The sequence below is a fragment of the Homo sapiens genome, chromosome 3 (genome assembly GCF_000001405.40).
Source record: "Homo sapiens chromosome 3, GRCh38.p14 Primary Assembly".
Taxonomy (NCBI): domain Eukaryota; kingdom Metazoa; phylum Chordata; class Mammalia; order Primates; family Hominidae; genus Homo; species Homo sapiens.
The window spans coordinates 114,514,279-114,526,800 of record NC_000003.12 but is presented as its reverse complement, the minus strand read 5'-3'; the positions used below and the strand labels follow the sequence as shown (position 1 = coordinate 114,526,800).

At 38.7% G+C, this 12,522-nt stretch overlaps 1 protein-coding gene and 1 long non-coding RNA gene across 18 annotated transcripts in view; one reads left to right on the top strand and one right to left on the bottom strand.

The window, feature by feature from the left end:
* ZBTB20 (zinc finger and BTB domain containing 20) overlaps nt 1–12,522 on the top strand; it is an 832,789-nt gene that overhangs the window by 620,488 nt on the left and 199,779 nt on the right. The gene's annotated exons all lie outside the window — the stretch shown is intronic.
* The window catches only part of ZBTB20-AS5 (ZBTB20 antisense RNA 5), a 66,540-nt gene continuing 60,686 nt past the window's right edge, over nt 6,669–12,522 (bottom strand). The window contains exons 2-3 of the long non-coding RNA NR_121661.1: nt 8,202–8,285; nt 6,669–7,158 (exon numbers count right to left, since the gene is read on the bottom strand). This is a non-coding gene — a long non-coding RNA (ZBTB20 antisense RNA 5). The remainder of the gene's footprint in view (nt 7,159–8,201; nt 8,286–12,522) is intronic.

The window sequence follows — 12,522 nt, the reverse complement described above, 5'->3', positions numbered from 1 at the left end:
ACATAGCTGTAATGTTCTAGTTGTTTTCCCTGTCCTATAAACCACGTAGACATTTGCTATTATACATAATGTTGGCAAAGGAACAATTTACAAATGACTTAAGCAGGTAATTATTTGTTAGAATATAGGTCTATGGAAGTATATATTACTGTAGCAAAACCTGGTAAAAGGTTAGTTTTGTTTCTGTGTTTCTATTATAATCCCTGGTTGTTAGTTTTTCTTTTTCCAGGGATTTATGAGTGGAATGTAAAAATGCACAGTGGGCTATTATTATTATTTATTATTTATCAAAGGAACATGAATATACAGAGCAAAGGCCAGTTTGTGAACTATGCCAGACAGTTCCCCGTCCAAAAGACCTCAAAATACAACTCTGAAGCAGGTCCTAAAAAATGCAGGACAGAATGAAAGCAGATGGGTGAATGATACTTATTCAATATCTTAAATATAGAACTCACTAGTGCAGGTGCATCTTCAGATGTTATTTGAAAGAAGAGACAGAATATCTTGGCATTGTGTCATTTATTCATAAATATTATAAATTTTATATTATTTGAGAAAATATTCTAAATATGCAAGGTAGTTTAAAAGAAGGTGTGAAAGCTGATTCCTTCAAATGAGACAAAGGGCAAATCGAGTGACTGAACATAAGAAAGTGGAGAAGAACCAGGCCAAGGATGGAGCCAAGGAAAAACAAATCCCACAGGAACACTTAAAGTTTGATGGAAAAAATGCAGGGATTTAAAAAAATAAAGATTCCAAACAATCAAGGAGGATGATGATCTTGGCAGCTATGCCTTGAATATACTAAAATTGCCAAGAGAATCCAGGAACAATAATGGCAATGACAATGATTTAGCTGTGGGAATTGCAGTGCAAGAGTGTAGAATTCTGTGTAGTGGACATAGGGGTTGGTTCTGGTCTCAAAGACAGTATCATAGAGCAGGAAGAATAGTTAGATTTAGCTAACAGCAGGGTAAAAGGTAGAAAATGTTTGTTGAGGAAGATGGAAGTCTATGAAGCTATCTAAGGAGGCCATAGTATTTTTTGAATACCCGTTATCTGCCCTACACTGTGTTAGTTTTTACTGAGTATACTGTAGTTGTAAGTCAGGATCCTTAGGCCAAAAATAAACCTATTTTAAAGTGAAAAGGTAAGAATAACCCATATGAAACAATTAGAAAATATAAAGCAGCTGGTGTTGTTAGGGATAGCAGGATTTTAGAGGAGGGAGAAATCAGCAGGCCTCATGGTAATCATAGAAAAACCATCCGAGAAGTAAGACCTAAGCTGGGACTCAAAGAATTGGTATGTGGGGAATAGACATAAACAAGGGAGAAATATGATGAAATCATCTGAATAGAAATGAACATGGTGTTTTGGGGGAGTAGTGAAATGACTTTACTCGGTGAAATGGATGGTTTGAGCAGGAAAGGAGGGAGAAGCTGGTAGGATAGTAAAGCAAAGCTGTTGTGTGAACCCAAGAATATAAGGATTCATCAGCATGTTATAGGGGGCATTTATTAATTCATCCTGAAAGTATTTATTGAGGGCATATTATGTTCCAGGCACAAATTAAACAAAACTTTTCCCCTTATGAAATTTATATTTAATGAAGGAAAATAGACACCCCCCCCAACAAAAAAAGCAAACAAATAAATGAACAAGTTAAGTTTAGAGAGCGATTAGTGCCATGAAGAACATTAATCTGAGTGATAAAATAGAGAGTGACAGGCTAGAGTAGTGATGGTCCCAAAGGGGGAGAGTAGAGAGTATTCAAAATTGGAGGCCAGGCACAGTGGCTCATGCCTGTAATCCCAACATTTTGGGAGGCCAAGGCAGGTGGATTGTTTGAGGTCAGGAGTTCGAGACCAGCCTGGCCAACATAGTGAAACCTCGTCTCTACTAAAATACAAAAATTAGCCGGGTGTGGTGGTGCGTGCCTGTAATCTCAGCTACTCAAGAGACCGCGGCAGGGGAATCGCTTGAACCTGAGAGGCGGAAGTTGTAGTGAGCTGAGATGGCATGACTGTGCACTCCAGCCTGGGCAACAGAGTGAGACTCCATCTCAGAAAAAAAAATTGGAAATTCTCAAGACTTGGAGATAATTTGGATAGGGAGGAGAAAGGGTAGACACAGGTGATATGTAGCTATCTAGTCTAGGAAATTAAAGTTTGTAATGCCAGTATATAAGCTGGAAAGATGGAAAGTGAGAGAGAGGAAACATTGAGGAGGTAGTAGAAAAGCTAAGTGTTCCCATAACTCCCCCTTGATGCAGTTGTCTACCAGGCAAGTTTCCCAATTCCTTGAAAACGTTAGCCCCTAGCTCACTAACACTCTTTCCATTTCTACCCCATTACAATTATTGGTTATTCACTGTGTAAATACACGCTCCCTCTAATACCTCCTCTCAATTTCTTGAACTTCTCATGATTGATTCTCCACTCTGCCATAGCTACTCATTCCCATGGCTACATTTCTGATGTTTTAATTACTAATAATTACAATATTCCACAATCTCAATTTCAAGCATTCCATTTTCCAACCACAGCCTAATGTCTTGGTAGTTCAATCCCTTTGTTACCCCTAATACACCAATTCCTTAAACCCACTAGGACCCCTAATTCATTGATTTTACCCATAGCTTCTCATATGCTCACTTCATTATATAGCGTAGATTCCATGGACAATGATTTTAATCATTTCCTTGTATGCGCCTTTAACACCATTGACCTTCTCTGACTTAACTGTGCTCTCTTGACAAATCTCAACTATACTGATCATATGCAACTCGCCATCTATTTCATGCCTGTGTGCCAGCTGAATGTGGCTGGAGAAAAACACACAAGCAAATGTATGACTCTCAGTTTAAATTCATGATCCCTCAAGGAGGCCGTTAATGCTGCCCAGCAAATATAATATGTTTCCTTGTCATTTACTCTTCCATATCTGTACAAGAATATTTCATATTTTTCCCTCTCTCAAATTTCTAACACCTCCTCCCCCATCCTTACGCTCAACTTAGAACCTTTCTTTTTACTTCACTGAAAAAATAGAAACCATCAAAAGACAACTTCACAAATACTTGCTGTCCAGCACACCTACCCTCCCATATTTATCTGTACCCATGTATTTTGCCTTCTCTCCTGCAACTATGGATAAACTCTGTGTACCCTTGGCTCAGCCCATCCCTCATTGTGCCTTAGAATCTCTCTCCTCTTGCACATGCATAAACAGTGCTCCTGAAAAAGCTCACATCTTTCTTCTGTTTTATCAAATTTTCTCTTTCTATCAAAACTTTCCTATCAGTATACAAACACATAATTTATCTCATCCTAAAAATACCCTTATAAACCATACTCCCTAGCAGCTCCTGTCCCATTTCTTTGATTTCCATTACAGCAAAACTTCTCAAGAAATGCGTATAGTCACTATAAACACTCTCCAATCCTATGCTCTGGTTCTCTTTTGCCCCTCTAGTTAGCTTTTGCACCTACCAGTCTAGTAAAACTGTTGATGCTAAGGTCACCAATGACTTCCATGTTGCTAAATCCATTAACCATTCGGCAGTCTTTGTCTTTCCTGATGTCTCAGAATTGTTTTACATGGCCCATTATTCATTCTCCATTAAAACACTTTCTTCGCTTGGCGTTCAGTCCACCACACTCTCCTGATTTTTTTCCTGCCTCACAGTCTACTCCTCCTCAGTCTCTTTTGCTAGCATATTCTCATTTCCCAAGCAGGTAAACATTAGAGGGCCCTAGAGCTCAATCTTTGAAGCTCTTCTCTTCAGCTCCATTCACTCTCTTAATATTTGCACCCAAGCTTATGGTGCAAGCTTGTATCTCTAGTCCAGGCCTTTACACAGAATTCTAGGCTCACATATTCAGCTGCCTATTCAACATCTCCACGTCTGTCTAATGAGCATCTCAAACTTGACATACCAGAAATGGAATTCCTTATTTTACCAAGCAAATACATAGCCTCCCCAATATTGGTAAATAACGCTCCACCTTTAGGGTTACTCAAATCAAAAATTTATTTCTCTCCCAGACCTGTATTTCTCTCACAAACCCAACCATTGAACAAATCCTGCAGCTCTACCTTCAGAATAAGTCCAGAATCTTACCACTCCTCATCCTCATCACCACTACTACCCTAATCCAAGCAACTATCATTTCTTACCCGGATTATTGCAGTAGCCTCCTAATTGTCTTCCCTGCTTCTGGCCTTACCACTTACAGTCTATTCTCAAAATGATAGCCAGAGTGATGCTTTGCAATATATGTAATGTAATTTCAGTCAGACCACATCACTTCTCTGCTCAGAACTCTCTAATGGCTCAACATCTCACTTGGAAGAAAAGCCTTTGCAGTAGTTCACAAGACCCTCCATATTCAATTTCCCCATTACCTCTCTGTCTTCATTTAGCGCTCCACCCTAGCTCACTCCCCTCAACCTTCATTGACCCCCTTCCTAACCTCCAGCCTACCATGCATGATTTCACATTTGCACTTGCTTTTCTGACCGCCTTAAATGTTTTCCCCAGATAAGGCTTGTTTGCTTATCATCTTCAGGTCTTTGCTCAATTTTCACTTCTAAGTAAGGCCTTTCATAACCACTGTATTTAACATTTAGCTTTCCACCCCTTTTGGTTCATAGCACCTACTGCCTTCAGACAAAATATATATTTTATTTACACATTTATTTCCTCTTGCCATGGAATATAAGCCCCATGATTGTGAGGTTTTTTTCGGTTTTGTTTGTTTGTTTTTTGCCTGTTCTATGCTCTAAGAAATCCTCAGTGCCTAGTACAGAGCCTGGCACATAGAGAGTGTTCAGTAAATATTCGTTGTATGAATTGAAGGAAGTAATAACTGATTCTTTCCCTGGGTTTGGAGGTGTTTTATTAAATGCAAAACATAATATTGTGGCATAGGCTCCATGATTCTCCATGGCAAAATTTTCTTATTCTTCAAAATTAATTTTGAAAGTAAGAGTGCTTTATGCAGGCTTATCCAGAATCTTAGATAGGCCACTATTTCTGTTCAGCACCCAAAGCAGCAACATCCAAAGCATTTATTAACTTTTTTTTCATTCAGTAAATGTTTATCAGGGAATATGGGTGTTCTAGACACAGGTGGTGACATGTGCAAAGACTCAGAAACTTAAGAAAATATAGTACAATGTACTGTCGCAATATTACAAGTGACAGATAATGATGCTCTGAGCTAATGTGGTGCAATGGGGATGAGAGAGGTAGAAATGTGAAAAACGTTATGAAGTGAAAGGGCACTAGATTCAAGAAACCTGGTTAGTGGAGACACAAAATATTGTCTACCTTTATCAGGCTATAAAGTGGAAAGTGATTATAAAAGAGTTAGATAAGAATGAAACTTAAACATAGAGGACCTGGATTGTAAATTTTCCTTTGTAGGGTATAGACGTAAAATTTCTCATTTTCAGAGTGACTATAAAAACATTCAGTGTGTCTACTGGTGACCTTGGCAAAATCATTTGAAAGGTGTTCCCAGATCAGACCCTAACTCTCATTCTTTTAACATTCTGACTGACAGTTGAAATAGTTTGAGGTCCCAAATTTTTTTGTCTAGTAATCTCACCCTTCCTGAAAGTAATTTTTCTTATTTTATGCAAAAATTGCTATATTAAGACATAGAAAAATATATGTGTGTTTTTAACAGGTAAAGGTGTAAAGAAAACTAGGCTTTTAAAATTTGTAAGTTTAATAAATTAATATTAGTTCAAAACCCAATTAACTGTAAATATTGCTTTCTATTCAAAAAAGGCCTCCTTTGGTTATTAGGATTGCACATCTATATGCACGGGTGATTATTTGAAGGTGAGATAAAAGCAACCATGATTCTTCCTAGGTATGGAACTTTGGCAGATGGGTGAATGGTAATACTATTAATATTTACTCACATAGGGAACATAGGAGGAAGAGAAAGTTTGAAGGAAAAGATGAGTTCAGCTTTGACATGTTGAATTTAGGATGCTTTTGGAATATCTAATTGTAATTGTCTAGTAATTCATTTGATATAAAGGGTTAGAGGTCAAGAGATAAGTAATGGCTCAAGATACAGATTTGAAAGGTATTTAAAAACAGGGAGATATGAATGTCCAGTAGGCAATGGACATATTAGTCTGAAATATGTTTAATAAAGCATTACAAGATACAGACCTGAATATCAAGGAACTTACAAACACTTATGTGATATTTTCCTAGACTGATTTTCTCTTAAATCCACTCCCACTCATCCCTCAAACCAACACACATCCTATCCCCAGCTTTCATTTAAAATGCCTACGATTTACCCTTTACATTGCAGGTATACCTTGATTTCTGTAGTAATTGTATACCTCAAAATCTCATGCCGAACAAAATTATGTACATGAGATCACGTAGTCAGTTGACTCATTACTCTAAGAAACTATGGAATGAGTCAATTTGCATTGTTAATGACGTCCCCCTATTTATCACCCCCTTTAAGTGTTTTTGTCTGATTTTTGTGTGGGGGGTACATCATATTCAACTGATATAATGTCAAATTATTGAGATATTTAAAGAGACTCCTGTTAAACAGTGAGAGAGAAGTCATCTTTATTCTTTCTATTTCCATCTTTATTCTTTTTTTCTTTTTCTTTTTCATAGGGAAGGAAGCAGAGGTACTCAGAATTTAAATAATTCCCCAAAGGTCAGCCTACATTTAAAGTTAAATGTAACTTTAAATTTTATTGCTCTCTGAGATTCTTTTTTTTTTCTAGCATTGAATCATTTTTAAATGTTTTCTTGCCATTTCCCTTTTGTCACCCCTATAACCTCAGTAGGTTTACTTGTTTACCTTTTTATTCTAGAATATCTTGTGTCTGTTCTGTCTGACAATACTTGAAATTTTCCTGACAGGCAGCCATTGAGTGAACAGTTTATGTAGTTTTATAGCAGTAGTTGTAATCTCTGCTGTCCCAGTTTTCTAGAATGTATGGTTGTTTGGGACTTCTCTGTGCTCTGCCCCTTTATTGGCAGTCTCACTTTCTTTCTCGTGTCTTACCTTTATCTCTCCAGAAAAGCTTCTGCAAAATGTATCTTTCCCACCAATCACAATGCTGCAGTCTTAGTGTATGCAGTCTCTATGGTAACTGGGAAACATGCCACAACACCAAGATTACTAGAGCAACCATCAGAGTGGGGAAATCAGCGCATGCCCTCCTCTGGCACGACAGAAGTTTCCCCATTGAAACTGGAATCAGATACCTGTATTTTAATATGCAGGGCAAGGAGGGTGGCAGAGGAAATGCTATAAGCCCAGTCTCTCTAAAGGCACATTACTGGGGTTTGATGGAATTCTTGAAGTTGATCTTATTTATCATGAATAAAGCTAGAGTCATGTACTGATCCTGAGCAGACATGGATAAACTGGTTGAACTTGAGGAGATTTTTTTTTCCTGCAGATACATGACTAGTTTGTAAACAAGAGAATTTTACTAAATTAGTATATATGCTTAGGTAAGCTCAGGGAAATTACCAATGTACTGTAAAAATTATTTACTTGCATTGTAGAGACAGACTTTTTCAGATGATTTCCCTAGCAATTGCATTGTTGACCCAGGGAGGACAAAAGGCAAAATTGGCTCTCTCTGAGCCTGCCTTAGAGTGGGGGCAGTTCTATTAGGTCTTGAAGGGAATGAGGATGAAGCAATGAGGCTTTTCTGGGGTGCTTCCTTTAGGACTGAACTTCATTCCAAATATGCAGAGGATCTGACTCCCAGGTACAGCCCAATAGAAACAAAGGGCATAAATCAGAGTTTCATAACTTTGGCCCTATTAACCTTTGGGGCCAGATAAATCTCTGTGGAACAGGGCTGTCCTGTGCACTGTAAGATGTTTAGCAGCGTCCCTGGCATCTACCCTCTAAATGCCAGTAGGAACTTCTCTAACTGTGACAACAAAAAATACAGATATCCCCTGACTGGGGGCAAAAATTAGCCCCAGGTTGAGAACCACTGGCCTAAAGCAAGATGCAGCTTGGGTAAGAAAAGAGAGTTGGAGAATCCCTTAAAGGGCCCAGAATATTCACTAGTTGATCATTCAGCAGGTATTTATTGAGCCCCTGTTATCTTTCAGGCACTCTTCTACTTACCAGGGATACCACTGTGAAGAGTCATGATCTTGTGGAGCTTACCTTCTAGTACATGCATGCCACATGTTCCTAACTAGCAGGTTCCCCTTCCCTCCACACAGCATAACAGCAAATGCTTCAAGCCAACTGAGGGCCAAGAAAAGAAAAACACAAGTTCATATTTGAAGATTCTTTTTTCAGTTTATGAACCTCAAAACGGCTTTGATTTAAAAATGAAACTTGGCAAGTGATTAGTTCATATGTTTTAGTTTATAATATGTTTTAATCATTTTGGGTGTTTTCAAAACAAATGGTGAGATTAGGGGTTTTTTTTCTCTTCTATTTTTGGCCCCTTTCCTCTGGAGAGTCCTTCTCTTGTGTTTAGTTCTTGGTGTTCTTAGTATATTTGAAGAATGCTTTTAAGTATTTGAAATGTGTGTACATGGTTGAAAGGGGATGAGGAAGAAGAAACCGAAAACTTCATGACCCTGCTCAAACCAATACCCATACCCCAGCCCTAAAGCAGTGTCCGGGCACCACATCTTCAAGGAAGGCCCCTTGGAAACCCCTCATGGGCCAGTCCTCTGACCCAGGTGATCTCCTAACCCCCTTTATGTATTCTTATGAGGATATATGATAAAGAACGGACTGTGAGATTTGTTGTTCAAATTTTTCCCCTTAGAATGTGAGCTCAGTGGGTAATAGTACCATGTTGGCTCTGTCCACAGTTCTACTATCTTCAGCATAGGGCCTGGTATACAGTAAGCGCTTAAAAAATACATGTCAAATGGCTGGGTGCAGTGGCTCACACCTGTAATCCTAGCACTTTGGGAGGCCGAGGCGGGTGGATCATGAGGTCAGGAATTCAAGACCAACCTGGCCAAGATGGTGAAATCCCATCTCTACTAAAAATACAAAAATTAGCCGGGCATGGTAGCAGGTGCCTGTAATCCCAGCTACTAGGGAGGCTGAGGCAGAGAATTGCTTGAACCCGGGAGGCAGAGGGTGCAGTGAGCCGAGATCGTGTCACAGCACTTCAGCCTGGGCAACAGAGAGAAATTTGGTCAAAAAAAAAAAAAAGAAATATGTGTTGATTGACTGACGAACTGACTAAGAAACCTAGCTTTTGGGATGTCCTTCCCAAACACTTTAAGCCTGCACACTGCCTGTGGTTTAACGTGCCTCTAGTATGAGACCTCATTGTCTTCCTTATTACTTTGTAAACTGTGAAGTAACATGTTCGCTATCTAGTTCCAAGCTTTGTTCAGTGATTTAGAGGATAAATGCCTATGACTCTCAGTGTCAGAAACAGAGTAAAATTACATATCTTATTTACTTATTTTCTTGTTTAATATATGTTCCCTCTACTGGAATTTAAACTATACAAGGTGGAGAACTTGATCTGCCAATAATGTTATCCTCTGTGCCTAGAACGATGTCTGACACATAGGAGATACTCAACAAATGTTTGCTGATAAAATAAATGATAGGCATTTCATCTATTAATATATTGATTGATAGATTGATTACTTATTAGTGAACAAAAAATGCAGTAACGTGATGAAGTTCTTAGTCATTCATTCAATATCCTAGAGCAGTTCCTAGCACATAGTAGGCACTCAGTAAGTACCTGATGAGTGAAAGAACTGATTCCAATATACTGAAGATTTTTTCTTTTACTGAGTATATCAGTTTTCTGGGGCTTTGTAACGAACTACCACAAACTGAGTGGCTTAAACAACAGAAATTTTTTGTCTCACAGTTATAGAAGCTAGATGTTCAAGATTAAAGTATCAACAGGGTCGGCTCCTTCTAAGGCTGTGAGTTCCGTGACTCCCACCCAGCTTCTGGTGGTTTCCTGGCAATCTTTGGTGTTCCTTGGCTTATAGAAGCATCAGCCCCAATCTCTGCCGTCATCGTCACATGATGTTCTCCCTGTGTGCATGTCTGTGTTTAAGTTTCTCTTTTTTATAAGTACACTAGTCATATTGGATTGCAGGCCCACTCTACAGCATGACCTCATCTTAATCACATCTTCAATGACCCTATTCACACATCTATTCATATTCTAAAGAATTGGGGGCCAGAATGTCAACATATGAATTTTAAGGGAACATAATCAACCCATAATACTAAAATAATAGAGATCTTCAGGTAGTAGCATTTTGATGGATGACTTCTATTTGGAAAACCTCAGCTTCTCAAAATAACGTATAGATTTATGATTCTATATGGAAATTGATGTGGTAATATTAAATAGCATTTACTGTGTTATACCAAGACATATATGTTTATAGAGAGGAAACATAAAGAAAGTACAAGGGGCATGAATGTACATGGCATATATCCTTGAATGCTGAGTAGTGTGGTGTCACCAGACAATGGGTTATGTGGGGAAGACTGCTGAGAGGTGCCAAAGGGATTTGTATATGAAGCAAAGCGGCTTGGGGGTTGGGCTTCATTTTACAGGCCTCCAACATATAAGGCAAAACTTATTGAATGGTAAATGAGTATAGCAAGGATGAATTTTATTGTATGTAAATTATACCTCAGTGAACCTGACCTTTAAAAGAAAGAAAACAATGAGGTTGAAGAATGGATTTTGGAAGCTAACAATTCAGAAGTGTTTGGTGACTTTGGCAAAAAAAAAAAAAAAAATTGTTTAATTAGAAACACAGCTAGAGAAACCAGATTGTAATGGTTTGAGGAATAAACGGGAGCTTAGGAAGCTTGAAGGTGGCACAAAAGAGGGAAAGATAAAGTCTGCAAAAGATGGTTTGTTGTTTGTTAGTTTATTATCATTGTTATTGTTGTTACCTTAAATGAAGACAGCTAAAGCATGTTGGCAGGCAGTAGGAAAATTGAAAATACAAAAGAAAGGAAAAGTAACTGATATAATAAGATCCTGGATGAGGTTATCAGTGCTAGGCAGAAAGATCTCTGAAATGTTACAGGCGGATTCATTGGTGGCAAAGGTGGAGTGATAGGAAGTGCCATTTGATGGCCTCTGTTTTCTCTATGCAAAAGGAGGCAAGGTTACTAGCTGAGAGTGAAGGGTAGGGGATGGGTTATAACCAGTTAAATAGAGTAATGAATGAAACTGTGGAGTGAAAAAGGAAACTGACTAGGAGCAAATTTTAAAATTGCAAACTAATTCTGAAATTCGAACTTATGCTGGAAACCGTAATTCTGCAGGAGCATCAAGCTGTACAGTTTTGTGCTTTTTCTCCAGCAAGGATCAGCAGCCTGGAAGCTGAGGAGAACATACATGTGGGTTCATCTGAGCTCCAGAACTAGGTAAATACAGTTGAGAACTGTAGATGAGGGAATTGATGGAGCTGGTGGGTATCTCTAAAGTTAACAACCATGGGCGTCCAGACTGGTAGAGAAGAAACTGGAAAATAATAGTCTGGGAGAAAAGAGGAAAAAACAAGAAAACCAAAAAGTCAGGGTGAGAAAGTAGAGTACTTGTTTTCTGGAGCCATATGTGTCCCCGTAAGGAGCCCGGCCTTACAAAACAAGTCTTATGCGACAGGTCTCAGAGAAAATGCAGAAAGTAGAATGAACACATTACAGGGCATAGACTGGATTCAAGAACATAGCCTGGTGGTCAGTGTTTCATTCCTAACTTGCCACTAATTTAAGGCAGCTGTCATTACCACCATTATCACAGAATGCTAATCCTTAGGAAAAGAATGTAAGAGTAGAAGAAATACCTGTGCATGTAAGAGCAGAATAAATAGGAACCTCCCATGGGTCAATGGCAATAAACTTGACAAGAAGCAAATTGTTTTATTTTTTGCCTTGGATTCCAAAAGTGTGCTGAGGTTTCCCTCTAGGCATGCTCTTTTACTTTTCTTAAGATTATCGATTTATTCTGTTAGAGAGTCTACAGAGGTGACACTCTTCTTTTCTGGCCCTCGCTCTCCCTTTCTTTGTTTTCTCTTTCTCCTCATTTCCTCCTATCTTAATGGATTGAATGTTGTCATATGTCTCAGCAACCCTCCCCAACCCAGTGACCAAATAAAGTATTCCCCATTACTTACTATTGGATTTTGTTTAATCCCCAAGAAGACTGGGCTAAGAAGTTAGTGCTTGTTTAGAAAACACTTTTAGGTACTTTGCAGATAACACTGTACCACTAATCCCTCATGCCCTATACATTTAGATGAACCTGGGTGTCTCTCTCTGGTATTCGTAAGAAAAGCTCTGCTCCTATGGGCCCTGTCTCCATATGTCAGCCTAGCAAAGTAACCAACCATGTTATGCACTGTGAGATACCATCCTCTAGTTATCCTTTACTTGCTTGAGTGGACTGAGATGAACATAATATACAAGGTTTAGTAGTTCCTAAACCCTATGAGAATTCCTAAGCTCCTTCTCT